The sequence below is a fragment of the Homo sapiens genome, chromosome 11, assembly GCF_000001405.40.
Source record: "Homo sapiens chromosome 11, GRCh38.p14 Primary Assembly".
NCBI classification, from domain to species: Eukaryota; Metazoa; Chordata; class Mammalia; order Primates; family Hominidae; genus Homo; species Homo sapiens.
The window spans coordinates 119,031,359-119,057,614 of NC_000011.10; the positions used below are offsets into that span (position 1 = coordinate 119,031,359).

At 51.1% G+C, this 26,256-nt stretch overlaps 1 protein-coding gene and 1 long non-coding RNA gene across 10 annotated transcripts, besides 7 other annotated features; one reads left to right on the forward strand and one right to left on the reverse strand.

Annotated features, from left to right (window-relative positions):
• Positions 4,639-4,793: a silencer, noted in NCBI's record as "fragment chr11:118906707-118906861 (GRCh37/hg19 assembly coordinates)". NCBI's record gives its function as "represses an EF-1alpha promoter that drives an FKBP-Casp9 reporter gene in an ReSE screen in HepG2 liver carcinoma cells {active_cell/tissue: HepG2}" and the evidence as "EXISTENCE:reporter gene assay evidence [ECO:0000049][PMID:32094911]".
• Positions 12,830-14,135, forward strand: HYOU1-AS1 (HYOU1 antisense RNA 1). Its single transcript, NR_186315.1, has 2 exons — positions 12,830-13,387; positions 14,027-14,135. It is a non-coding gene; the product is annotated as an HYOU1 antisense RNA 1 (long non-coding RNA).
• Positions 12,830-25,847, reverse strand: HYOU1 (hypoxia up-regulated 1). Of its 9 annotated transcripts, none has more exons than NM_001130991.3 (26): positions 25,795-25,847; positions 24,712-24,809; positions 24,392-24,485; positions 24,135-24,213; positions 23,827-23,981; positions 23,626-23,702; positions 23,136-23,317; positions 22,763-22,878; positions 21,279-21,471; positions 20,937-21,071; positions 20,732-20,814; positions 20,461-20,593; positions 20,080-20,267; positions 19,677-19,815; positions 18,419-18,479; positions 18,198-18,277; positions 17,660-17,845; positions 17,356-17,528; positions 17,118-17,205; positions 16,890-17,012; positions 16,589-16,722; positions 16,376-16,460; positions 15,204-15,444; positions 15,059-15,109; positions 14,423-14,473; positions 12,830-14,296 (listed from the first exon to the last, which is right to left on the reverse strand). In NM_001130991.3, exons 2-26 carry the CDS (start codon positions 24,800-24,802, stop codon positions 14,235-14,237), a joined length of 3,000 nt encoding a protein of 999 aa, NP_001124463.1. In that variant the 5' UTR covers positions 24,803-24,809; positions 25,795-25,847; the 3' UTR covers positions 12,830-14,234. The 9 variants fall into 9 exon arrangements, with proteins under 9 accessions (NP_001124463.1, XP_005271449.1, XP_016872586.1 ...); XM_005271392.5 differs by having other exon boundaries at positions 14,423-14,476; XM_017017097.2 differs by having other exon boundaries at positions 25,717-25,847.
• Positions 20,391-20,820: an enhancer, noted in NCBI's record as "active region_5617". NCBI's record gives its function as "activates an Ori minimal core promoter by ATAC-STARR-seq in GM12878 lymphoblastoid cells {active_cell/tissue: GM12878}" and the evidence as "EXISTENCE:reporter gene assay evidence [ECO:0000049][PMID:35858748]".
• Positions 24,945-25,445: an enhancer, noted in NCBI's record as "H3K27ac hESC enhancer chr11:118927013-118927514 (GRCh37/hg19 assembly coordinates)". NCBI's record gives its function as "activates a minimal SCP1, AML or CMV promoter by ChIP-STARR-seq in naive H9 embryonic stem cells {active_cell/tissue: H9 hESC(naive)}" and the evidence as "EXISTENCE:reporter gene assay evidence [ECO:0000049][PMID:30033119]".
• Positions 25,425-25,704: a silencer, noted in NCBI's record as "silent region_3963". NCBI's record gives its function as "represses an Ori minimal core promoter by ATAC-STARR-seq in GM12878 lymphoblastoid cells {active_cell/tissue: GM12878}" and the evidence as "EXISTENCE:reporter gene assay evidence [ECO:0000049][PMID:35858748]".
• Positions 25,425-26,074: a biological region, named in NCBI's record as "H3K27ac hESC enhancer GRCh37_chr11:118927515-118928014".
• Positions 25,446-25,945: an enhancer, noted in NCBI's record as "H3K27ac hESC enhancer chr11:118927515-118928014 (GRCh37/hg19 assembly coordinates)". NCBI's record gives its function as "activates a minimal SCP1, AML or CMV promoter by ChIP-STARR-seq in naive H9 embryonic stem cells {active_cell/tissue: H9 hESC(naive)}" and the evidence as "EXISTENCE:reporter gene assay evidence [ECO:0000049][PMID:30033119]".
• Positions 25,795-26,074: a silencer, noted in NCBI's record as "silent region_3964". NCBI's record gives its function as "represses an Ori minimal core promoter by ATAC-STARR-seq in GM12878 lymphoblastoid cells {active_cell/tissue: GM12878}" and the evidence as "EXISTENCE:reporter gene assay evidence [ECO:0000049][PMID:35858748]".

Consider the following 26,256-nt stretch of genomic DNA (forward strand, 5'->3'; position numbering starts at 1 on the left):
CCCACCACCACGCCCGGGTAATTTTTTGTATTTTTAGTAGAGACGGGGTTTCACCGTGTTTGCCAGGATGGTCTCGATCTCCTGACCTCGTGATCCGCTCACCTCGGCCTCCCAAAGTGCTGGGATTACAGGCGTGAGCCACCGCGCCCAGCCCACAATTTGGAATTTTAACTTGTGGTTAGATTGTTGGGGACAGAGACGGGGCCTGGAGTAAATATCAAATTCTAGTCCTAGACCCACAGCATTCTAACTGTATGACCTTGGTTAATCTCTATGAGCTCCCGTTTCCTACCAGCCTGGTAGATCATTGTGAAGACTCAACAGATGATTTAGATAAGAGCTCAGAAATTCTATAAGAGTTCTCAACAACAATGGTTTTCACTGATCCCAGTTAAGAGTTGTGAGGAGTAACAGTAGTGATGCTATTTTACAACAATGATGACTGTGTTCTCAGAAACAGAGCAAATGTTAACCCTGCCCATAGCTTCAACAGAAGGTAACATAGCCTAACAAAGTCCCCAACAGTCCCAATCAGCCAGCACTTCCCGACCTCTCCCCAATAGAAACGATATTATAAAAGCCTCAGCTTGTAAGCGATCAGGGTCTCAGCCAGACTCCTGACTGGAACTCCTTGCAGGCTTATTCCTGTGAATAAACCTGTTTGGCCGTTGAGTTGCCTCCTGTCTCTCGCTCTCTTCCCTTATATCTTCCTAACAAGAGTGGCTGAAGGAATTGTAAGTGTTCCAAAATTGAGAGCAAAGATCTTTTACTCCAGAGAAGATGGTCAGGGAAGGGAGGAGGAGGAGATGAGATAAAATAGGATGACAGGCCGGACGCGATGGCTCATGCTTGTAATCCCAGCACATTGGGAGGCCAAGGCGGGCAGATCACTTGAAGTCAGGAGTTCGAGACCAGCCTGGCCAACATGGTGAAACCCTGTCTCTACTAAAAATACCAAAATTAGCCAGGCTTGGTGGCACACGCCTGTAATCCCAGTTACTGGGGAGGCTGAGGCAGGAGAATTTCTTGGACCTGGGAAGCAGAGGTTGCAGTGAGCCGAGATCGTGCCACTGCACTCCAGCCTGGGTGACAGAGCGAGAGCCTGTCTCAAAAAAAAAAAAAAAAAAATAGGATGACGATGTCACTGAACTTCGTTAATTCAAAATCGGGGAGGAGCCTAGTTTGTACCAGGCACTGTGCTTTCAGCCAGGTAGATCCAAGGACCAGGAAACAGTTCCTCCGAAACCAAACCAGAGCAGATTCTTACTTTACCTAATAGAGGAGTAGGAAGCCATCAGGTTTTTCTCCGCTTTTATTTTTAAGATTTAACATACACATAATAAAATACAAAAAGTGCAGGAATCTTACATGTACAACTCAGTGATTTTTTACACATGTTAATACCCGTGTAACCACCACCTAAATTAACAGCCCTATCGTTTTGTTTTGGAAGTGGAGTGATCTCAGCTCACTGCAACCTCCTTCTCTGGGGTTCAAGCGATTCTCCTGCCTCAGCCTCCCGAGTAGCTGGGATTACAGGCATGCCCCACCATGCCCAGCTAATTTTGTAATTTTAGTAGGGGTAGGGTTTCTCCATGTTGGTCAGGCTGGTCTCAAACTCCTGACTTCAGGTGATCTGCCCCCCTTGGCCTCCCAAAGTGCTGGGATTACAGGCATGAACAACTGCACCCAGCCAACCCGGTTAATTTTTCTATTTTTTGTAGAGACAAGAGTTTCACCATATTGGCCAGGCTGGCCTCGAAATCCTGAGCTCAAGGGATCCACCTGCCTTGGTCTTCCAATATCCTGGAATTACAGGCATGAGCCACTGTGCCTGGTCGATGGTGTTTATTTGTTTGTTTGTTTGTTTTTGAGACAGAGTCTTGCTCTGTCGGCCAGGCTGAAGTGCAGTGGCAGGATCTCGGCTCACTGCAACCTCTGCCTCCTGGGCTCAAGCCATTCTCCTGCCTGAGCCTCCTGAGTAGCTGGGATTACAAGCATGTGCCACCACGCCCAGCTAATTTTTGTATTTTTAGTAGAGACAGGGTTTCACCCTATTGGCCAGGCTGGTCTCGAACTCCTGACCTCAGGTAATCCGCCCACCTCGGTCTCCCAAAGTGCTAGGATTACAGGCGTGAGCCACTGCGCCCGGTCTGTTTTTTTTGTTTGTTTGTTTGTTTGTTTGTTTGTTTTTGAGACAGGCTTGCTCTGTTGCCCAGGCTGGAGTGCAATGGTATCTTAGCTCACTCTAACCTCAAATTCCTGAGCATTGAGCGATCCTCCCAAGTAGCTAAGACTACAGGACCAGGCCACCTGGGTTCAAGCGATTCTTCTGCCTCAGCTTCCTGAGTAGTTGGTATTATAGGTGCCCGCAAACACGCCTGGCTAATTTTTGTATTTTTAGTACAGACAGGGTTTCTTTCTTTCTTTTTTTCTTTTTCTTTCTTTTTTTTTTTTTTTTTTTTGAGACAGAGTCTCGCTCTCTCGCCCAGGCTGGAGTGCAGTGGCACCATCTGGGCTCACTGCAAGCTCCGCCTCCCAGGTTCATGCCATTCTCCTGCCTCAGCCTCCCGAGTAGCTGGGACTACAGACACCCGCCACCACGGTCAGCTAATTTTTTGTATTTTTAGTAGAGACGGGGTTTCACTGTGTTAGCCAGGATGGTCTCGATCCTGACCTCGTGATCCACCCGCCTCGGCCTCCCAAAGTGCTAGATTACAAGCGTGAGCCACCGCACCCGGCGTACAGAGGGGGTTTCGCCATGTTGGCCAGGCTAGTCTCAAACTCCTGAGTTTAGGTTATCCACCTGCCTCAGGCTCCCAAAGTGCGGCGATTACAAGCATGATCCATCGCACCCAGTCAGTGGGAATTAAATGGAAAAACATTTTAAAGCACTTTATGATCAGGATAGTAGGGACTCAAATGCTAGTTTGCTCACTGTATTTCCAAAGAATGTTAAGAAATGAGAAGATAGGCCGGGCATGGTGGCTTACTCCCGTAATCCCAGCACTTTGCGAGGCTGAGGCGCGCGGATCATGAGGTCAGGAGTTCGAGACCAGCCTGACCAACATGGTGAAACCCTGTCTCTACTAAAAATACAAAAATTAGCCGGGTGTGGTGGTGTACACCTGTAATCCCAGCTAATCAGGAGGCTGAGGCAGGAGAATCACTTGAACCTGGGAGGCAGAAGTTGCAGTGAGCTGAGATGGCGCCATTGCACTCCAGCCTAGGTGACAGAGTGAGACTCCGTCTCAAAAAAAAAAAAAAAGAAAGAAAGAAAGAAAAGAAAAAGAAATGAGAAGATGACATCCCAATACAGTACAAAGACTTTACTAAGGGATAATAAAAGGTAATTTGAACAAACGTAAATCATACTACATGCCTGAAAAACAAGCTATGACTTTGATACTGTCCAAATGTCAATCCATTCAAAATTCATTTGGCATTTTAAAACCATCCCAATCTATATCCCAACAGAATTTGTTGGAAACTGGACAAAGTTTTTATTTTTTTTTCAGAAGCCATAGAAATGAATGGACAACATTATTTTAAATATCATCCGAGGTTGGGCCCAGTGGCTCATGCTTACAATCCCAACACTTTGGAAGGATGGCTTGAGGTCAGGAGTTTGAGACCAGCCTGGGCAACGTAGTGAGACCCCATTGCTACAAAAAATTTAGAAATTAGCCAGGTGTGGTGGCATGTGCCTCTAGTCCTATCTACTCAGGGGCTTAGACGGGAAGAGACCTTGAGCCTAGGAGTTCAAGGCCTCAGTGAGCTATGATTGTAGCACTGCACTCCAGCCTAGGCTACAAGAAAGACCTTGTTTCAAAAAAATTTTTTATCTCATGTATGATTTTAACTATGATAAAAGGGACATCCTGCACAGGTGCAGTGGCTTATGCTGTAATTCAACCACTTTGGAAGGCTGAGGTGAGAGGGTTGATTGAGTCCAGGAGTTCAAGACCAGCCTGGGCAACATAGGGAGAACCCCCCGCCATCTCTACAAAAATATAAAAAATTAGCCAGGGTCGGGTGCAGTGGCTCATGCCTGTAATGCCAGCACTTTGGAAGGCTGAGGCAGGCAGATCACCTGAGGTCAGGAGTTCGAGACCAGCCTGGCCAACATGATGAAACCCAGTCTCTACTAAAAATACCAAAATTAGCTGGGCGTGGTGGCATGTGCCTTTAATCCCAGATACTCCTGAGGCTGAGGCAGGAGAATCGAATGAACCCGGGAGGCGGAGGTTGCAGTGAGCCAAGATCGCGCCACTGCACTCCAGCCTGGGCCACAGAGCGAGACTCCATCTCAAAATAATAAATAAATAAATAAAAGTAAAAATTAGCCAGGTGTGGTGGCATGTACCTGTGGTCCCAGCTAATTGGGAGACTGAGGTGGCAGGATTGCTTGAGGCAGGAAGGTCAAGGCTGCAGTAAGCTATGATCGCACTACTGTACTCTAGCCTGGGTGAAAGCAAGACCGTGTTTCAAAAGAAAAATTTTTTTTAATTAAAAAAAATGACACTCCTGGACGGGTGCAGTGGCTCACGCTTATAATCCCAGCACTTTGGGAGGCCGAGGTGGGTGGATCACGAGGTCAGGAGTTCCAGACCAGCCTGGCCAACATGGTGAAACCCCGTCTACTAAAAATACAAAAATTAGCCAGGCGTGGAGGCGTGCACCTGTAATCACAGCTATTCAGGAGGCTGAGGGAGGAGAATCGCTTGAACCTGAAAGGCAGAGGTTGCAGTGAGCCAAGATGGCACCATTGCACTCCAGCCTGGGCAACAGGGTGAGACTCAGTCTCAAAAAAAAAAACACAAAAATTAGGCGGGCATGGTGGCACACACCTGTAATTCCAGCTACTAGGGAGGCTGAGGCAGGAGAATCACTTGAACCAGGGAGGCGGGGGTTGCAGTGAGCTGAGATCATGCCACTGCACTTGAGCCTGGGTGACAGAGCAAGACTCCGTCTCAAAATTTAAAATAAATAAATAATTTTTTTTTTAATTAACCAGGCATGGTGGCTCATGCTGATAGTCCCAGCTACTCAGGAGGCTGAGGTGGGAGGATTGCTTAAGTCTGGGTGGTCAAGGTTGCACTGAGCAGTGATTGTGCTACTGCACTCCTGCCTGGGCAACCGAGTGAGACCTTGTCTCCAAAAAAGTAAAAAAAAAAAAAAAAAAAAAGGAAGCCATCCCAAATCAATAGAGTGGAGTGGATTAACTAATAAATAATGCCAGGCACAGTGGCTCATGCCTGTAATTGAAACACTTTGGAAGGCCAAGGCAGGAGAATTGCTTGAGCCGAAAAGGTTGAGGCTGCAATGAGCTGTGATCACGCCACTGCACTCCCTCCTGGGTGACAGAGTGAGACCCTGCCTCAAAATAAATAAATAATAAATAGATAAATGAATAAATTGTTCTAGGTATTTAGAAAAAATCAACTTAGATCTCTATTGCACACTCCACACAAAATAAATCCCAGATAGATTTAAAAATGCCATTTAAGACCTGGCACAGTGGTTCACGCCTGTAATTCCAGCACTTTGGGAGGCTGAGGAGGGCAGATCACCTGAGGTCAGGAGTTCAAGACCAGCCTGACCAACATGGTGAAACTCTGTCTCTACTAAAATTACAAAAATTAGTTGAGCGTGATGGCACATGCCTGTAGTCCTAGCTACTTAGGAGGCTGAGGCAGGGGAATCACTCAAACTCAGGAGGTGGAAGTTGCAGTGAGCTGAGATTGCACCACTGCACTCCAGCCTGGGCGACAGAGAGAGACTCCGTCTCAAAAAAATAAATAAATAAATAAAGAGGCTGGGCGTAGTGGCTCACGCCTGTAATCCCAGCACTTTGGGAGGCCAAGGCAGGCAGATCACCTGACGTCAGGAGTTTGAGATCAGCCCAGCCAACACGGTGAAACCTCATTTCTACTAAAAATACAAAAATTAGCCGAGTGTGGTGGCAGGTGCCTGTAATCCCAGCTACTTGGGGGCTGAGGCAGGAGAATCGCTTGGACCTGGGAGGCGGAGGTTGCAGTAAGCCGAGATCGCAGCATTGCACTCCAGCCTGGGGGACAAGAGCGAGACTTCATCTCAAAAAAAAAAAAAAAAGAAAGAAAAGAAAAAAGAAAATGTCATTTAAGAAAATAAAACTGCTAGGCGTGGTGGCTCACGCCTGTAATCCCAGCACTTTGGGAGGCTGAGGCAGGTGGATCACGAGGTCAGGAGATCGAGAACATCCTGGCTAACACGGTGAAACCCCGTCTCTACTAAAAATACAAAAAAAAAAAAATTAGCCGGGCTTGGTGGCAGGCACCTGTAATCCCAGCTACTCGGGAGGCTGAGGCAGAAGAATGGCATGAACCTGGGAGGCGGAGCTTGCAGTGAGCCAAGATCGCGCCACTGCACTAAAGCCTGGACGACAGAGTGAGACTCCGTCTCAAAAAAAAAAAAAAAGAAAAGAAAGAAAATTAGGCCGGGCGCGGAGGCTCACGCCTGTAATCCTAGCACTTTGGAAGGCCGAAGTGGGTGGATCACGAGGTCAGGAGATCGAGACCATCCTGGCTAACACAGTGAAACCCCGTCTCTACTAAAAATACAAAATTAGCCAGGTATGCTGGTGCATGCCTGTAATCCCAGCTACTCGGGAGGCTGAGGTAGGAGAATTGCTTGAACCTGGGAGGCGGAGGTTGCGGTGAGCCAAGATCACACCATTGCACTCCAGCCTGGGCAACAAGAGCGAAACTCCGTCTCAAAAAAAAAAAAAAAAGAAAATTAGAGATGGTATCAACATGGGAGAGGTAACTTGATAAATTAACACTGAGGAATTTACTTGGTAAAGGGGGATAATATAAATTTTGAAAGCTTAAGGAATTGACAGAAAAATAAACATAAGAATAGGTCTTAATCATTAAAGAGTAACCACCAGAATAATCCCAGCTGCCATGCTTGGCTAATTTTTTATTTTTATTTTTTGTAGAGATGGGGGTCTCACTATTGTTGCCCAGACTGGTCTCGAGCTCTTGGGCTCAAGTAATCCTCTCGCCTCAGCCTCCCATAGTGCTGGGATTACAGGCGTGAGCAACCACGCCCAGCCATGTGAGAGTTTTAATTCCTCTACAGCCTCATCAACACTAGTTTTCTTTTTTTTTCTTTTTTCTTTTCATTTATTTATTTATTTATTTATTTATTTATTTATTTATTTATTTTGAGACAGAGTCTGGCTCTGTTGCCAGGCTGGAGTGCAGTGGCGAGATCTTGGCTCACTGCAACCTCCTCCTCCTGGGTTCAAGTGATTCTCTTGCCTCAGCCTCCCATGTAGCTGGGATTACAGGCGTGTGCCACCACACCCGGCTAATTTTTGTATTTTTAGTAGAGATGGGGTTTCACCATATTGGCCAGACTGGTCTTGAACTCCTGACCTCAGGTAATCCGCCCGCCTCGGCCTCCCAAAGTGTTGGGATTACAGGTGTGAGCTACTGCGCCCAGCCAATTTGTGTATTTTTAGTAGAGACAGAGTTTTGCCATGTTGGCCAGGCTGGTCTCAAACTCCTGGCCTCAAGTGATCCACCCACTTTGGCCTCCGAAAGTGCTGGGATTACAGATGTGAACCACTGCCCCCGGCCTACAGAGAGCAGTTTTATTAATCAAATGCTAACAGTTGAGATATGGCCAGACTCATGCCTTTAAAAGACTGTTCCAGCTTTTTGGGCTCAGTGAAGAGATTTCATAAGAAAAACTTGGCATGGGAAACATATGGGAGTGGTACAGGAGGGTATCTATGTGTCTTGTTCCGATAGCTCTCTTGAGTAATTTCTTGTCTGGAAGCCCAGTTGGCATCATCTTGACTTCTACCTGGTGGTTTTGGATTAATTGGTCGTGACTCCCCCTAAACAGGAGGATTCGGTAGCTGAAGGGGTGGGTTGCTCCTCCACACCTGTGGGTGTTCCTTGTTAGGTGGAACGAGAGACTTGGAAAAGAAAGAGACACAGACAAAGTACAGAGAAAGAAATCGGGGGACCAGGGGACCGGCGCTCAGCATATGGAGGATCCCGCCGGCCTCTGAGTTCCCTTAGTATTTATTGATCATTATTGGGTGTTTCTCGGAGAGGGGGATGTGGCAGGATCATAAGATAATAGTGGAGAGAAGGTCAGCAGGTAAACACGTGAACAAAGTTCTCTGCATCATAAACAAGGTAAAGAATTAAGTGCTGTGCTTTAGATATGTATACACATAAACATCTCAATGCCTTACAGAGCAGTATTGCTGCCCGCATGTCCCACCTGCAGCCCTAAGGCAGTTTCCCCCTATCTCAGTAGATGGAATATACAATCGGGTTTTACATCGAGACATTCCATTGCCCAGGGACGAGCAGGAGACAGATGCCTTCCTCTTGTCTCAACTGCAACGAGGCGTTCCTTCCTCTTTTACTAATCCTCCTCAGCACAGACCCTTTACGGGTGTCGGGCTGGGGGACGGTCAGGTCTTTCCCTTCCCACGAGGCCATATCTCAGGCTATCACATGGGGAGAAACCTTGGACAGTACCTGGCTTTCCTAGGCAGGGGTCCCTGCGGCCTTCCGCAGTGTTTTGTGTCCCTGGGTACTTGAGATTCCTTCAAGCATTTGTTTAGCAAAGCACATCTTGCACAGCCCTTAATCCATTTAACCCTGAGTTGACACAGCACATGTCTCAGGGAGCACAGGGTTGGGGGTGGGGTTACAGATTAAAATGGAGTCTCTTATGTCTACTTTCTATACAGACACATTACCAATCTGATCTCTCTTTCTTTTCCCCACAGGTAGCTGGGTCTTTATTCCTGGCTTGTTTCAAAATTAGCCCCTGGCTGAACAGGATGGCTCATGCTTGTAATCCCAACACTGGGAGGCACAGGCAGGAGGATTTTTTTTTTTTTTTTGAGATGGAGTCTTGCTCTGTCACCCAGGCTGGAGTGCAGTGAGTGATCTCCGCTTGCTGCAAGCTCCGCCTCCCGAGTTCATGCCATTCTCCTGCCTCACCTTCCCAAGTAGCTGGGACTACAGGCACCTGCCACCATGCCCGGCTAATTTTTTTGTATTTTTAGTAGAGATGGGGTTTCACCGTGTTAGACAGGATGGTCTCGATCTCCTGACCTGGTGATCTGCCTGCCTCGGCCTCCCAAAGTGCTAGGATTTCAGGCATGAGCCACTGCGCCCAGCCCCACTACGCCCAGCTATTTTTTGTATTTTTAGTAGAAATGGGGTTTTGCCATGTTGGCCAGGCTGGTCTTGACCTGAGGTATCCTGACTGGGATTACAGGCGTGAGCCACTGGGCCTGGCTATTTGTTTTTTTTGAGAGAAGTCTTGCTCTTATCCCCCAGGTTTGAGTGCAATGGCTTGATCTCCACTCACTGCAACCTCTGCCTCCCAGGTTCAAATGATTCTCCTGCCTCTGCTTCCCAAATAGCTGGGATTAAATCGCCTGCCACCAAGCCCGGCTAATTTTTGTATTTTTTAGTAGAGACTGGGTTTCACCATGTTGGCCAGGCTGGTCTCGAACTGCTGACTTCAGGTGATCCGCCCGCCTCGGCCTCCCAAAGTGCTGGGATTACAGGTGTGAGCCACTGCGCCCGGCCGGGCCTGGCTATTTTTTATTTTTATTTTTGAGGCAGAGTCTCGCTCTGTTGCCCAGGCTGGAGTGCAGTGGCATGACCTCAGCTCACTGCAACTTCTGCCTCCTGGGTTCAAGTAATTCTCAAGCCTCAGCCTCCTAAGTAGCTGGGACTACGGGCACACACCACCACACCCGGCTAATTTTTTGTATTTTAGTAGACATGGTGTTTCGCCATGTTGCCCAGGGTGGTCTCAAACTTCAGAGCTCAGGCAATCCACTCACCTCGGCTTCCCAAAGTGCTAGGATTACAGATGTGAGCCACCATCCCTGGCCAAAATAAATATTTTAAAAATATTTGGTAGAATTCACCAGTGAAGCCATCTAGTCCCGATTTTTTTTTTTTTTTTTTTTTTTTTTTGAGACGGAGTCTTGCTCTGTTGCCAGGTTGGAGTGCCGTGGCCCAGTCTTGGCGCACTGCAACCTCTGTCTCCTGGGTTCAAGTGATTCTCCTTCCTCGGCCTCCTGAGTAGCTGGGATTACAGGTGCCCACCACCACGCCAAGCTAATTTTTGTATTTTTAGTACAGACAGGGTTTCACTGTGTTAGCCAGGCTAGTCTCAAACTTCTGACCTTGTGATCTGCCTGCCTCAGCCTCCCAAGGTGCTGGGATTACTAGCCCGAGCCACCGTGCCTGCCCCCCACCTCCCCACCCTTTTTTTTTTTGAGACAGAGTTTCGCTCTTGTCGCCCAGGCTGGTCTCAAACTGTTGACTTCAGGTGATCCGCCTGCCTCGGCCGCCCAAAGTGTTGGGATTACAGGCTTGAGGCAAGGCGCGCCGGGCCTTTTTTTTTTTTTTTTGAGTCGGGGTCTCTCCCTCCCAGGCTGCAGTGCAGTGGTGCGATCATAATCTACTGCAGCTTTGAACTCCTAGTTTCAAGTGATCCTCCTGCCTCTGCCTCCTGAGTAGCTAGGACTACTATTTTTTGTAGAGATGAGGTCTGGCTATGTTGTCTCAAACTCCTGGCCTCAAGCGATCCTTCCACTCCTGCCTCCCCAAACACTGGTATTACAGCCATGAGTCACTGCACTTAGCTTCGCCTTTTTTTTTTAGAGCACTTTTAGGTTCACAGCAAAATTGAGGGGAAAATACAGAGTTCCCGTATATTCCCTTCCTCCATACACTCACAGCTTCCCCCATAATAAACACTTCACACCAGAGGTCTACAGGTGTTACATCTGAGGAACCTACACTGACTCATCATATTTGCCCAAAGTCTACACTTTCAGTTGTCTTGGTGTTGCACATTCTATAGGTTTTGACAAATGTATATGTACCCACCATTATGGTGTCATACAGAACTTTGGGTGATTGTAACAAATGTACCACTCTGGGGGAGATTGAGTATGTGGGGACAGGAGGTATATGGCAACTCTGTACCTCCTGCTCAATTCTGCTGTGAATCTGAAACTGTCTAAAAGTCATCCAAAAAAAAAAAAACAAAAACCCAAAACTTCCACATTCAAAACTTATCTGACTTGTTCAACTTTTAGAGAAAAAAGACAACCCTTCGTGGTTATTTTTTTTGTGTGTGACAGAGTCTAGCTGTCGCCCAGGCTGGAGTGCAGTGGCACGATCTCAGCTCACTGCAACCTCATCCTCCCGGGTTCAATTGATTTTCCTGTCTCAGCCTCCTGAGTAGCTGGGACTACAGGCGGGTGCCACCATGTCCGGCTGATTTTTTGTATTTTTAGTAGAGACGGAGTTTCACTGTGTTAGCCAGGATGGTCTCGGATCTCCTGACCTCATGATCCGCCTGCCTTGGCCTCCCAAAGTGCTAGGACTACAGGCGTGAGCTACTACACCCGGCTGGGCCTTCATGGTTATTAAATGTAAATACAACGGGGCCAAGCTCAGTGGCTCATACCTGTAATCCCAGCACTTTGGGAGGCCAAGGCAAGCAGATCATTTGAGTCCAGGAGTTCAAGACCAGCCTGAGCAACATAGTGAAACCCCGTCTCGACCAGAAAATACAAAAATTAGCCAGGTAGTCCCTGCTACAGGGCTGAGGTGGGAGGATTGCTTGAGCCTGGGAGGTCGCGGCTGCAGTGGGCCAAGATGGCACCATTGCACTCCAGCCTGGGTGACAGAGCAACACCCTGTATACCGTATACAACTGCTTAGATATGTACATGATTAGTGACAAGAGGGATCCTCCCTTGGTAATAGAAAATTTGGGCTAGGCATGCTGCATCCCAAACTGATGAACCGAAACTGCTACAAATGGTCTCTACCAACACATTCCCACGGCTAAGTACGAAGAACAAGGGCGAATGGTCAGAATTAAGCTCAAACCTAGCTGAAGCACTCAACATTGATTCATTCCTTGGACCAATTACTTGCTAAATCTCTATGAACTGGTATCTTATTTGTACAATGAGGTTGCTATTTTAAAAATTAATGTTACCAGCTGGGCCCAGTGGCTCAGGCCTGTAAACCCAGCACTTTGGGAGCCCAAGGCAGGTGGATCGCTTCAGGTCAGTTCCAGACCAGCTTAGCCAACATGGTGAAACCCCGTCTCTACTAAAATACAAAAAAAATTTAGCTGGGTATGGTGGCAGGTGCCTGTAATCCCAGCTACTCAGGAGGCTGGGGCAGTAGAATCACTTGAACCCGGGAGGCGGAGGTTGCAGTGAGCCTGGATCGCATTACTATACTCCAGCCTGGGCAACAGAGCAGGACCCAGTCTCAAAGAAAAAAAAAAAAAAAAAGTACGTTACTTAAAAATGCCTGGGATATAGGAGTCCAAATAATGTTAGCAGTAAAATAAAACCAGTATTTTGTTTCCTTGAAAAAAATACATATACAAATCTCAACTAAGTCCAAAGTGTCAATAACATTTTGATGATGTAATTATTCAAACTTTTTGAGGTTTTCACTGTCACACATGCTGGAGTGCAGTGGCACGATCATAGCTCACTGAAGCCTCGAAGTCCTGGGCCCAAGGGACCCACCCTCCAGCCTCAGTCTCCCAAGTAGCTGGGTCTACAGGCACACATCCCCACACTCAGATACTTTTTTTTTTTTTTTTTGAGACAGAGTCTTGCTGTTGCCCAGGCTGGTCCGACCTCAAGCTATCCTCCCATCTTGGCCTCCCAAAATGTTAAGATGACAGGTATGAGCCACCATGCCTGGCCCAAAATTTTTCTATTTTTAAAAACTCACAGCACAAAAACTGTAGAAAAGAATATTTTATTGAAACAGTTTCTCAATTAACAATGGAGCAAAGTACAATTTGACTCAAACCTGTCCAACCAGCATCAACAGCTACTGAAAGAATTCAAACATACAGAAGAGGTGGGGGTGGGGTGAGGGGTGGGACCCTTAGGTCCCATCTCTGCCAATGTGGCAAAAAAAAAAAAAAAAGGAAAAGACAAAATGACTGACACAGCCAGGTTCATTCTTGTCTTGGAGCTGAGGCAGCAGCCCTAGCTCCTGCTACAGACGGAATACTGGAGGACGGGCTCCCTAGGCGTAGGTATGGTGGGTCGGGGGCCCCCAACCTAGCAGAGTGATGCACAGAGGAAGGCCAGCCCTGACCCTCCTCCTTCATCCACAGGCCTGCCTCAGAGAGAGGGAGGTGGCATCTCTACATTCACACCATGGTCTCTCCTTTCCCCAGGATCTTGGGATAGGGACTCACAGTAGAAAGCACATTTTGGTCAGCCCAGGGGGTCAGGGGGTGAGGGAAAGGCTCTGTCTGGGAGGAGCAGAACAGCAGAAGAGAGGAGGAGGCAGGGAGTTACAGGAACCTGGGGTACCAGGCTGCTGGGAAGATGCAGATTATGACAGAGCTTGCACGATGCTGGCACCCCATGCCAACCACTCTACGTGGCTTTCCTCTTCGGAGAGGTGGTGGGCTCCCTTCTTCACTGTGCCCCTCCCTCCTCTGGCCACTAGGGGTGGGAAATACGAGTGAGAATCCTTCCAGATTTACTTCCGCCAATCCAGAGGTACAGGCTTTTAGGCAAGGGGCAGAGAACTGCCCAATTTGCTGCAGGAAGCCAAGGAAACCCAGGGGGAAAGGAGCTGGATGGGAATGGGGAAGGGAGGCTCAGAGCAAGAGAAGCCCGCAGAGGGAGGAAAGAGCACAGATAGGCACTCAGAAACCAAACCTGGTAACTGAGGCTCTGCAGACACTGGCCTGAAAGGATGCTCATCGCATGGTGGGAGAGGAAGGGAGGGAAGGAACAATCACCAGAGAAGAGTGGAAACTCCCCAGCAACCTGATACCCTTCCCATCACCGGGACCCATCAGCCACTGGCAGCCATTCTCTTCCTACCCACAGGCAAAGGATTCAGAAATTAATAGTGATTTTTCCCAAATTTAGGGCCTATATGGGTAGGGAACAGGGAGTGGGGCTGGGGAGGAGAACAGTTTCCATTTTTAACCACAGAGGTACTGCAGAAGGAACCAGTGAGCTGTCCCTCCCTTCCCCTTCTCCACACCTCCAAATCACAGGGGTGAGAAAGGAACTCCAGCCGAGGGCAGGACCAACCCCTCCCCCAACCCTCGATGTTAAATAAATAGAAGTGGTGGGGGAAGGGGGTGGAGATGAATGGGGAAAACAGAGGTGGGGGTTATAGTTCGTCGTTCTTCAAAGGCCGCTTCTGTCCTGTCGATTGTTCTTTCTGTTCAGGTTCTGTTGGGAGTTTGGGGGAGCAAAGGAATCACCGCAGGTGAAACAGAGGAACCAACCCCAGTTCTTTGCAAAGGATTTCCTGAGACCCCACCAGGCTTCCCACCGTAGCCCCGGCTCCATCCTCACCTGCTCCAGGACCTCCTAACTCCAAAGGCTCAGTGTCTCCTGGCTCGGATCCTGCTTTGGGAAGAAACAGGTTAGTCTCCTCAGAAGGGAGGAAGAGGCTAAGGGAAGGCTGGGCCAGTTTTTCCATGAAGAGCCAGCTAGTAAATATTTTAGGATGCATGTACCACATTTGGTCTCTTTGCCTACTCTGTTTTTTGAGACAGAGTCTCTGTTGCCCAGGCTGGAGTGCAGAGTGCAGTGGCGCCATCTTGGCTTACTGCAACCTCTGCCTCCCAGGTTCAAGTGTTCTCCTGCCTCAGCCTCCTGAGTAGCTGGGATTAAAGGTGTGCGCCACCACGCCTGACTCTTTTTTTTGGTATTTTTTTAGTAAAGATGGGGTTTCACCATGTTGGCCAGGCTGGTCTCGAACTCCTGACCTCAGGTGATCTACCCGCCTCAGCCTTCCAAACTGCTGGGATTACAGGCGTGAGCCACCGTGCCTGGCCTTTTTTTTTTTTTTTTTTTTTAAACAACCCTTTAAAAACGCAAAGGCCATTCAAGCTCATGGGCTGTCTAGAAACAGGCTGTGCCTGCCAGTTTGCCTACCCCTGGGCTAATGCAACATCCACGTGCTCAACCATGGTTGCTCCAACTCACCAGTCTCTACTTTCTCAGGTTCTGAAATGGGCTCTGCATCTTCAGTCTGGCCTAGAAGGAAACCAGGGGTAAGACATAGCCTCAGGAAGGAAAGGAGGCTGTCTCCCTGTCCAGCAGAACATGCAGCCAGGTACCCTGTTCTCACCTGCTGGAGGGATGACCTTCTCCCCCTGGTCACTGGCACTGGCATTGAGGGGTGGCTCTGCCCGGGTCCCATTCTTGTCCTTAGGCCGGGGCCGGGGCTTGGTAAACTTGGCCTTATTGAGCAGATACTGCACCTCTCGGTCCAGGGCCATCATCTTAGCTTCAATGTCTTTTGAGAGCAACACAGGCTTCTCTGTGGCGGGCAGCTTAGCCTGCTCGGCCAGAGTTGCATTCTTCCAGGCCTGTGGGTGAGACCAGGAGAGGCTCCAAGCTAGCCATGGAGAGAGCAGACATCTCTGTCCCAGATGGAATCACACCCCCAACCAGCCTCTTCCCTCAGACTGCAAATCACTGCCACCCCTGGCCTCAGCCCCAAGAGGCTAACAGACTCCTCAGAAGGGTATTAAAGGTTCTCCACAATGAAGTCCCAACCTGCAGGTTTCTGGTTTACATCCTACTACTCTGGAGTGACTACAACTGAACAAACCCCTTGAATAGTCCTTTTTTTTTTTTGAGACGGAGTCTCGCTCTGTTGCCAGGCTGGAGTGCAGTGGCGCGATCTCGACTCACTGCAACCTCCGACTCCTGGGTTCAAAAGATTCTCCTGCCTCAGCCTCCTGAGTAGCTAGGACTACAGGCGACCACGCCCAGCTAATTTCTGTATATTTAGTAGAGACGGGGTTTCACCATGTTGACCAGGATGGTCTCAATCTCTTGACCTGGTGATTCGCCCACCTCAGCCTCCTTAAGTGCTGGGATTACAGGCGTGAGCCACCGCGCCCAGCTGAATACTCATTTCTTGACTCTCCACTTTACTGAGCTCTGGCTCAAGAGTCCCCACACATCCAAAACAGTTTCTGCTTCACATGACACATCAGTTTCACCTAGCCAAACCCTGGCCCATGTTCTGAACCTAGCTCAAATCCCAGCCCCTCAAAGCAGCTTTCTCTGTCCTCATGGGATGGGCTTTTTTGCTCCTCCAGGCTGATGACTCTTATGGCCATGGCCCTTGCTTGGGACTAATCAGAGGTGGGCTCAAATACAAACATCTTTTGTCTTCAGGTTAGATGCTAAGCCAGGAGGCAGGGGCTGCTGTGGCTTCATCTCTCCACCTCTCCCACAGTACCTAGGATGGCAGCTAAGTATCTGGTTAAGTATTTACGAAGTGATTACCCAGGTCTCATTGATGACTTTCTCTAACGTTGTCATCTCCACCTCAGTGAAGATCTGGTCCATCTCTGGGATGAGCCGGGCCCCCCTGGAAGCCAGAAAGGAGACCATTAGCCCCAGAGGGAGAGGGGCCTGGAGTGTGGGGAGTGGGAAGCTGGTAGGAATGAAAACCAGTGGCCTTGGCAGGACTGCAAAAAGGGTTCAGGGGCTGCTCACTTGAGGAACATGCTGGAATGGTTGAGGAGATTATCGAGGGCAGACAGCCGTTCGGGCCACTTCTTGCGCTCCTCTACCCGAAAAAACAGCCCTTGGCACAGCTTCCTCAGCTCAGCCAGCTTCTCCTTCAACATCTGATGGATGTGCGATTGGGCAGAGGGGTGGAAGGGACGACAGCAGAGCCTGGAGTCAGCCCCATGTCCTTCTTTATGGGCTCAAGCCCCAGCTCTTCTCTCTCTCTGACCCTGGGAGAGGAAGGAGAGCTCCCACTCCACCTGCCATGTCCTGAGAGGCCCCTCACCACTGTGGTGGCTCCAACACCCTCATCCTCCAGCCAGGTGGATGCGGCGCTGAGCTTCCCAGAGATCTCCTCACGCTGCTCCTCTGTGGACACTTCCTGGTACTCGGGCTGGTACAGCTTGTCCTGGGGAGGGGGACATGTAAACACATGCACCCACAAGCCCAGAGGCAAGGCCCACAGAGCCAGGTGTAAGCCCAGTGGGGGGGCTGCTGCCTCCTGCCCACTGACCTGGGTCTCAAATATGAATGCTTCCAAGCTGTTGGCAGCTTTTTCCCGTTCCTGCTTCTCCAGGTCTCGGAGTGTCAAGTCCTGAAGTCTATGGGACAAAGGAGGGGTAGGGATGAGGGAGAGGGCAAGTGAGAACTTGAGACTCTGGGTCCGACAGCCCTCCCTCCCAGGGCGCCATCCCACATCCTGCCCACCTTGCACACACATGTACACACACACACCAGCTGTCCTCACTTACTTCTGCACCGACTGAGCCAGCTTATCCTCTGGCAAGTCAGGCAGGTCCAGAACAACCAGCTCCACCCCGATCTCCTCTACCATTCGCCGCTTCCTGGCGGGCTTCTGCTTCTTCTCTCCCTCTGGGGCTGGAGCGACGCCCTCAGGCCCTGCCTCTGCCTTCTCACTTGGTTTCTGGGTGGGAAGAGTCAGGGGTGTCAGGAAAAGCCTCTGCCCTCCTACATTCTCCACAAGGCCAGAAACAAGGCAGGCGCCTGCTCCCTTAGCCTCTGGATCCACACTGGCCTTCCTCTGCCACAGCTCACCTGGGCCTCAGACTTGTCCCCATTTTCTTTTTCTGTGGCCTTTTCTCCCTCAGGGGTTGCATCTCCCTTAGGTTCAGGGGGTGGGGGCTGAGAGCCATCCTCCACTGGGGCCTCAGCTTCCTCCTTGAGCTCCACCTGCTCCCCAGGCTCGTCCTTGCTCCCCTCTGCAGGGCTCTCCTCTTCCTCCTGGGAAACACCACAGGCGCCCCAGGGAACGATCAGGAGCAGAGCCTCCAGGCAGGCCTGGCTCGGCACCGCCGACCCCATGGGGGTTCCATACAGGTGACTGCTGTATGGAAACGGTCAATGGCCTGCTTGGACTGTGGCAATCTAGCTGGACAAAGGAAGAGCATCTGCAATGAGGGGAATGGGCCTTGGGAGCACCAGTCAAGAAACAGCTCAGAGCCCAGAGGATCCTGGGGAGTGAATGGTTAACACAACAGGGGCAGGGGTGGCCTACCCTCACCCCCTTCCTCTGCGGCTACTACCTGCATCCCCCACCGTCCTCCATGCTTCCCTGGCTCCATCCTGAACTCACCTGGACAGTATCAGTACCATTCTCCTTGGCATCTGGTGTGGTACCGCCTCCAAACAGGCTGGAAATGGTGTTGCCAAGTTCTAGGGGGAGTAAAACCCAAAGACTCAAAAGGAGACCACAGCAGTGACTCCACCTTCTAACCCAAGGGCCATGCCCTGTCCACCTCCCCAACCTTCACACAAGTATATTCTCTCCCATACACACATGCATGCTCATCTTACTGGTGAGAGTAGATTCCTCTTCTGCGCTGTCCTCTACCAGTGTCTCAAATACAGACTCCACCTGAAAACAGGTTCAAAATGAAAAAATACACAGGCTAATCCACCTTTTCTCCACAAACATCTGCCAAAGTGGGTGTTTGCTTATGCACACTCCATGCCGTCACAGGCCTAGTCTCTCACCTGCCTTTTCTAAGGACTTGGAGGTGGCTGCCCATCTCCTTTGATTAAGAGCCCTCCATGAATAGGGTCCCAGCTCCTCTTTCTCCAAAGAGCCCCCTACTTCTCCACTCAATAACTGTATTGGCTATTACATCCATATTACCCCCAGATTTGTTCTTCAAAAACGGATTCCTGGCCGAGTGCAGTGGCTTATGCCTGTAATCTCAACACTTTGGGAGGCCAAGGCAGGTGGATCACTTGAGGTCAGGGGTTTGAGACCAGACTGGCCAACATGGTGAAACCCTATCTCTACTCCAAATAACAAAAATTAGCCAGGTGTGGTGGCAGGCGCCTGTAATCCCAGCTACTCAGGAGGCTGAGACAGGAGAGTCACTTGAACCCGGGAGGCGGAGGTTGCAAGATCACGTCACTGTACTCCAGCCTGGACAACAGAGCAAGACTCTGTCTCAAAAAAAGTAATAATAATAATAAGTGGATTCCTGAGGCTGCGTGGCTCCCACCCATAATCCCTGTACTTTGGGAGGTTGAGGCAGGATGATCGCTTGATCCCAGGAGTTAGAGACCAGTCTGGCAACATAGTGAGACCCTATCTCTATAAATAAAGTACAAAAAAATTTCGCAGGATATGGTGGCACATACGTATCGTCCCAGCTACTCAAGAGGCTGAGATGGGAGGATCATTTAAGCCCAAGTGTTCAAGGCTGGAATGCGCTATGACCATGCCATTATATTCCAGCTTAAGTAACAGAGCCAAGACCCTCTCCAAAAAAAAAAAAAAAAAAAAAAAAAAAAAAAAAAAAAGAGTGGATTCTTCAAACCATTCAATTGTTCCAAGAAATTTACAATGCCTATATCAAACCATTCAATAGTTCCAAGAAATTTACAATGCCTATAAGCATTTATAGGCTATAAGGAGGTCTGCACCAGATCATCAGTTAGCTCTGTTCAGAGCCAACATTTTTCTGATTCCTAAACCTTTTTTGGTTATCTTATCCTAATGCCATGTGGAACCCACTTTGGAAATGGCTGGCAGGGCCTGAGCCCCTGCTCTGCACACAGGGTATCCTTTAGCTCTCACCCTGTCTAGACTGAGCACGCCACTCTCATCCAGGTTGAAGTGAGCCTTGATGCCCTTGGACTCGTAGTCAGGATACTTCTTGAAGCTGTCACCCACCCCTTTTAGCTTCACTGTGGTCAGATTCTGGGAGCCAAATACCCTGGTTGGGAAGGAAAGAGGAGTTCAGGGGGACCCACCCCAGCCCATCTCGCCCTCTAGACTACATGGCCTCCTGGCACAAGGTGTCAGGGGCACTCCCCAAGGGCACACTCAAGAGGACGGATGCATTCTCCAGCGAAGCTGATCATAGCTGCCCTGTTTCAGCCCCGCAGGCCCACATCCTCCCTCACCCCCAGTCCTCAGATTATCCAGCAGCCACGCCTCCCCCTCCCTGGAGCTCCCATCCTACACCCCTGCCCCTCACCGAAGATCTTCAGGCCCCAGGAAGCCCAGGTCGCCGTAGTTGATGTGGAAGTTGAAATCATGGCTGTAGCGGTTAAAGGTGATGACTTTGCGTTGAGGGTAGGGCCCCATCCGAGAGAAGAGTACCCGTTTATTGTGCTTCAGGCTGTGAATCCCAGGCTCCTCCTCCACCTCCCTCGTGAACTCCACCTACACAGCAGGCAGACAGAGGCACACTGTTGCACACTAGAGAACCCGAGTAGGTTCTGGGGTAAGGATGGGGGTGGGATGGGGGAGACCTCTTAGCAGAAAGACAAAGGGATGAGCCAGAGCAGACAGAAGGGGAAACCCTACTTGGGAGAGGTAAAGGGAGCTTGTCACCTGCTCAGTCAGGCTCACTCACCAGGATGGGGTAGACCACTGCATCTCGGACGACAAATGGCTTCACTTTAAAGGCTTTGCTGAGCGCAGCTGCCTGGTACACTGCCCCCATGGCGGCTGCTTCATCTGCATTGATGTTCTTCCCCAGCTCCTCCCTGGGAAAGCCCCAAGCCTCAGCACGGTCTACCCTGGAGCATGCAACCGGGACTTCCCTCCCCTCAGCCCTCCAGCTGCTCAGCCCAAAGCCCTGCCCCAGGCAGAACTCAGCCAAGCGCTCTAGCCCCCACACTCACTTGCCCACGGCCTTCAGCAGCACCTCCTGAACTCTGGGGACCCGAGTGGCCCCACCCACCAGGATCACCTGCTCAATCTCATCCTGCAGTGGGTAAGAATGACAGGTGCAACAGCATGCAGTTAGCACTGACTCGTCCCTTGACGTCCCATGGGTTTCCTATGCCCTTTCCTACGGGGCATTCCCGCCTTCCCCTACTCGCTCACCAGACTCATTTCGGCACTCTGGAGGGCCTGCTGTACAGGCCCAGGCACCCGCTCAAACAAGTCTGCACACAACTCCTCAAATTCCACACGAGTCACTTTTGCCTTGAAGTCCACATCATCCATCAGGCCTTCAATCTGGGAGAGGATGGGGACTGTCAGGGGGTTCTTGCCCAGCTCCCGCTCTCTTGGTGAGTAGGACAGAAACAAAAAGAATAGGTCTTTGGGAGGATGGTAGCGGGAGGAGCATGGGCCATGCCAGGCACGAGCAGCCCAGTTCAGTGGCAGGGTCCCCCACCCTCTACGTGGGACAAAATATAGCCTCAACCAGCCACTTGTGGGCACCTGTGCCATGTGGTCAGCGTTGGCACTGAGGACGGTTTTGAGCCGATTAGCCTCACGCAGCAGCTTGGCCATGGCACGCGGGTTCTCCCGCACATCCTTTGCTCTCTGACCCTTGCGCTGCTCATTGAAAAGCCCAGCCAGGCGTTCTCGAAGCCGGAGCTCCATCTCCAGGCCCCCCAGGGTACGGTCAAATCTGTTGAGAAAAGGGAGCAGGGAAAAAAGTGAAGAACACATGGAGTCCCCGCATCTGCACAGGAGCCTCTCATCCCCACATGGCACCTTTCCTTCATCTCAGGGGACCTTGTTCATCTCCAGTGCCCCATGTGTGGACACACACTCTGCCCTCAACTCTCTACAGCACAGCTGACACCTCGCAGTGACCCTTCTTCCACTCATTCATTCGACAGTGTTTACTGAGCATTACTTATGTACTTCCCTCTGGGAATACAAATGTGGCGGTGGGGAGAGAGACAGGGTCCCTGCTATGGAAAAGTTGAATAATCACACAAATGTGAAATTATCACTACGTCACATGTTGTAAAGGTGAGGGGACAATGCCTGCAGAACATGCATGGGGGGAGATTCAGGCTACTGAGGGAGACCCAAGAACATGTCTCCTAAAAAGTGATGCTTGAACTGAAACCTGAAGGATGAGTTCAGTGCAAGCATCACTTGAACTGAAGAGTTCAGAGTTCACTAGCTGGAGGGGAAAGAACATTCTAGACAGAGGCAACAACGTTCATAAAGACCTTGAAGTGGGAGAGTGCATGGCAAGTTCCGGAGGAGGGCAAGCATCACTGGGGCTCAAAAAGCGAGAGGGCTCAGGGCTCAGACAGGCTGCAGAAGGCAGGGTTGAGACAGGCACAGGGAAAGTTATGGAGCCAGCGACAGGTTTTTAAAGAAACAGGTAATGATTAGGTTGGATTTTAAGAAGAACCCTCTGGCTGCAATATGAAGAAAGAACTGAAAGGAGACGTCACTAGGAACAGGGAGATGTTTTTAATTCTGCAAATAAGAGGTGATGGTAACTTGGGCTGGGTGGTAATGGTGAAGACGGAAAAAGATGATTTCAAGAAATAAGACAACAGGGCACATGTTCTCAGGATCTCCTGAGGGCTATGTCACAGGCCATAAAAAAAAATTTAAAAAGAGGTAAGACAACAAGAATGGTAAATTATTTAACTGGAAATGACAAGAGAACAAAAACATGATTGAATCTGACACCCTACATATTGCCTGCGGCTCCATGGATTTCCTTAGAATACATTTTGAAAGTTCCATGTCTTCCAGTTTTCCCAAACTGTCCTCCCCTGAGCCTCAGCTTCCCCTTACTCTTTGTGAGTGGTCCCCTACAATGACTGATGCCTCAATCAGGAGACCATTCCTGCAGCATGCAGGAAAGCAAAGCAGTGTGTCTCCTCCAAGAAGAAACCCCTGACTTGAGGGTCTTCACAAGCAGCCCTCCCTGCCAAGTATCCACTTACCCTACTCCCCGGATCTGCAGCTGTGGCTGCATCCCAGCTTCCTTAGTCTTCACCATCTGGTAGGTCACAATGGTGCATACGGTGCTGCCTGAGCCCATGTCATAGAACATGATATTCTGTAGAGATATCAAGGCAACTGTCACAGGAACCTTCTCAAACTCCAGGGGGCCTGCCTGCCCACCCACCTGCTTCCAATGGGCTGTCTGACTCTTAACACAAAACTAAACAGCTCCAACAGGGGCTGGGAGGAGGCTATTGGTGCATTTTGCCAAGGGTCAGCCCAGCCATGCAAACCAGATGCAAAAGGGACCAAGTGGCCTCCATCCTTAGATTCAGTCACCCTGCATGTCTGGTCAAGGCTCCCCTGGCTCACCTGGGCAGTGGTGTTAATATCTTTCCGGCGGAAGACACCATAGCTGAGGGCAGTGGCGGTGTTGTCATTGATGAGCTGCAGCACTTTGAGGCCAGCCATACGAGCAGCCTGCAGCACAGCTCGGCGCTCGGCCTGGTTGAAGAAGACTGGCACGGTGATCACTGCATCCTTGATGGGCTGCTCTACAGATGACAACAGAAAAGGGTCCCGCCGGCTCCATACCTTAGATGAGGGCTTCTAATCTGGTCACTAATGACATTTTGGACTAGGTAATTCTGTGTTGTGGGGCTGTCCTGTGCACTGTAGGATGTTGAGCAGCATCCCCGGCCTCTACCCACTAGATAGCAGGTGCACCCCTCAGATGTGACAACCAAAATCTATCTTCAGATGTTGCTAAATGTTCCCTGGGAGGCAAACTTGCCCCTGTTGGAGAATCACTGCCCTAGATCCTGGGGAGCCTGGCCCTAAGGGCCCCACCTTGACCACTCACCTGCAAAATCTTCAGCTAGAGAACGAGAATAATTGAGAACCATGCCCAACACTTCCTCAGGTGAGAACTGCAGCTGCCTGAGGGGAAGGAAGGTAGTTGGAGCCAAGGAAAGCCAGGCATTAAGGCAGGACAATCAGGAACACACACCAATGAGGAGCCCAGCAGCGTTGCCGAGACCACCTTCCCCAACAGAGCACTCACGAGCTGATCTGAAAGTGCACAGTCTGCCTCTGTGGGTCGAAAGTCAGCTCGTGCTCCGGGAAGCGGGCCTGGTAAAGAGCTACATGGGGGTTATCTGCCTGCTTCCCCAGGAGGTGCTGGAAGTAACGTAGCGTAGCCTTTGGATTCTTAATCGCCTGAGGGGTGAAGAAGGAGCAGACTAGTATTAGGCTCCCAAGTCCACCATTACCTACCTCTTACATCACAGAGACTGATAAGGAAACAGACTCTGGGGGCTGCCATCTCCTCTCCTCTGCCCACCACTCTGGGAAGAGGGACTGCTAGCTCACCATGCTTGCTGCACTGTCTCCAAAGAATCTTTCATTTTCTTTCAGGGTCACGATCACCGGTGTTTTCCTCCGAGATTCCCTGAGGAAAAGAGATTTTGGGCCCAGGTGCCTGCAGCAGAAGGACTCAGAAGCCTCGACACTCACACACATTTAACCACTCAGATGCCGAAGTCTGCTGTGGGCACTATGACTAACACATTCACACTTGGAGCCCAGACTCCCTCGTTCCCCACCCTTAACACGGGGGCCACCCTCACTTATTCAAGACAATTTCCATGGGCACTCCAGGTTTGACAATGGCCACCTTCATGGACTCACTGCCCAGGTCCACAGACATCACTGCCAGTGTATCTGAAGGGAAAAGAGGTTTGTCAGTTAGCTCTCCCTTCGCCCACCTTCCTGGGACTCCCTCTAATCAAAGCATACCACTTTCCATGGGTAAACGAAGATGGCAAAAGACAAAAAGGCCTGGACCTAACAACTCAAGAGACTTCTGGCCAACAGCCCCAAGCTCAATTCCCATCATGCATCCTTCAGTCATCATTTATCCATTTGCTCCCTCTACTGGGGTACATACCACTCAGTGCCAACAGGTCTGCCAAGAGCACAGCCACCAAGGCCCAACAGACTCGCCTCCTCGGCCTCTGCCTCCTAACTTTGTCTGCCATAGTGCCCCTGGGGGAGGCGAAGAAAGAAAACACTTAAAACTGGATACCCGGAGTGAAGGAGACAGAATCACATCCCAGAACGGAGAGGCTGTAAGATTCATATCTACTTCATTCTTACCCAGGGCAGATCAGCCTACTTCTCCCCTTCTCCCTCCTGATGGGTACAAACCATTCTCTAATCATCCCAGCAGCGCCCACACAAAGGCCCAAGTGAAAGAGCATGGGTCCTCGGCTTTGCCACATCCCTAAACAGAGAAGCTAACAGGACAAGAGAAAGGAGACCCGAGCCTTTTGTCCACCACACAGGCAGTGAGTGGCGCACCGCAGCACTGTGCCTGTTGTCAGACACCTGGGGTGCGGCCAGGGATCCCCGCCCAGGGCTCAACCACCTCCCCACACCTGGAGCTCCCCCGCTGACGGGGAAAGCCAGCTGGGCCTGGACGGGAAGAGAAAGGTAATGACGTTGGGGGTAGCTAGGATGAAGGAAAGGCCTATCTCCTCCTCGGCATCCCTGCGGGTTGTCCCGCCCCCTCCCCTTTCCCAGCTCACTCCCCGGCCCCGCTGTGCCCACAGACGCAGTGCCAGGGGCGGTAAGGTTCCCCGCCCGGCGGGTAGCCGTTACCCGGTGTTCACCTAAACCCCACCTGACGAAGGCGGCGGCTCCCACTCCCGGAAACGGATCCCGGCCCGCCCCAGCAAGTGGGGACAGACCGGGGGCCGAGCTGCGTGCCCCCCGGTGCGAGGCCGAGCGCCCGGCGTCCGCGCGGCCCTCCCTTGCGCTCCCGACCCGCCCCCGGAGCTCGCACGCTGTCTCCCCTAGGAGGGGTGGCCGGCCCGCACCTCCATCCACCCCCGCTACCTCTTGCCTCCGCTCCTGCGGCCCCAGCTCTGGGACAGACGCGGCACGAACGTACCCACGAGGCCGGCAGCGCCCCCCACCCGCGCCCTTCACAACTCCTCTCGGTTTGCAAACTGTTACATTAGCCACCAACCTCTCGGCGGCGTCTCGCGCACCAGCCGGCCCCGGACGCGGCGCGCGCTCATTGGAGCCTCGGCCGCCCGGCCCTGCGCTGCGCGCCCGGCCCCGCCCCCGCCGCCCCGGCGCGCGTACTCATTGGACCACGTCCCAGGCCCCGCCCCCTCCCTTTGCCAGCCTTGTAATGGGGCGGCGGAGGGGACCAGCCACCGGTTGGGCAGAAGCAGCCGGCGTCGGCCTGGGATTGGACCACGTCACGGGGCCAGCGCGCTCCACTCCTTCCTCCCCAGCGCCGGCCCCGGGGCGACCGCGGGACCTTTTCCGGCGCTGGATGCTTTGCTGCCGGGGTTCGGGAGTGACCTGCGCCTAGAGCAGGTCGGGCGCACTGCAGTCCCGCACTCGGGGCTCTTCTTCCGGTCACCTGTAGAGCCCGGCCGAGGAATGGAATAACAGGCGTCCTGTCCGCAGCCCCGCGGAG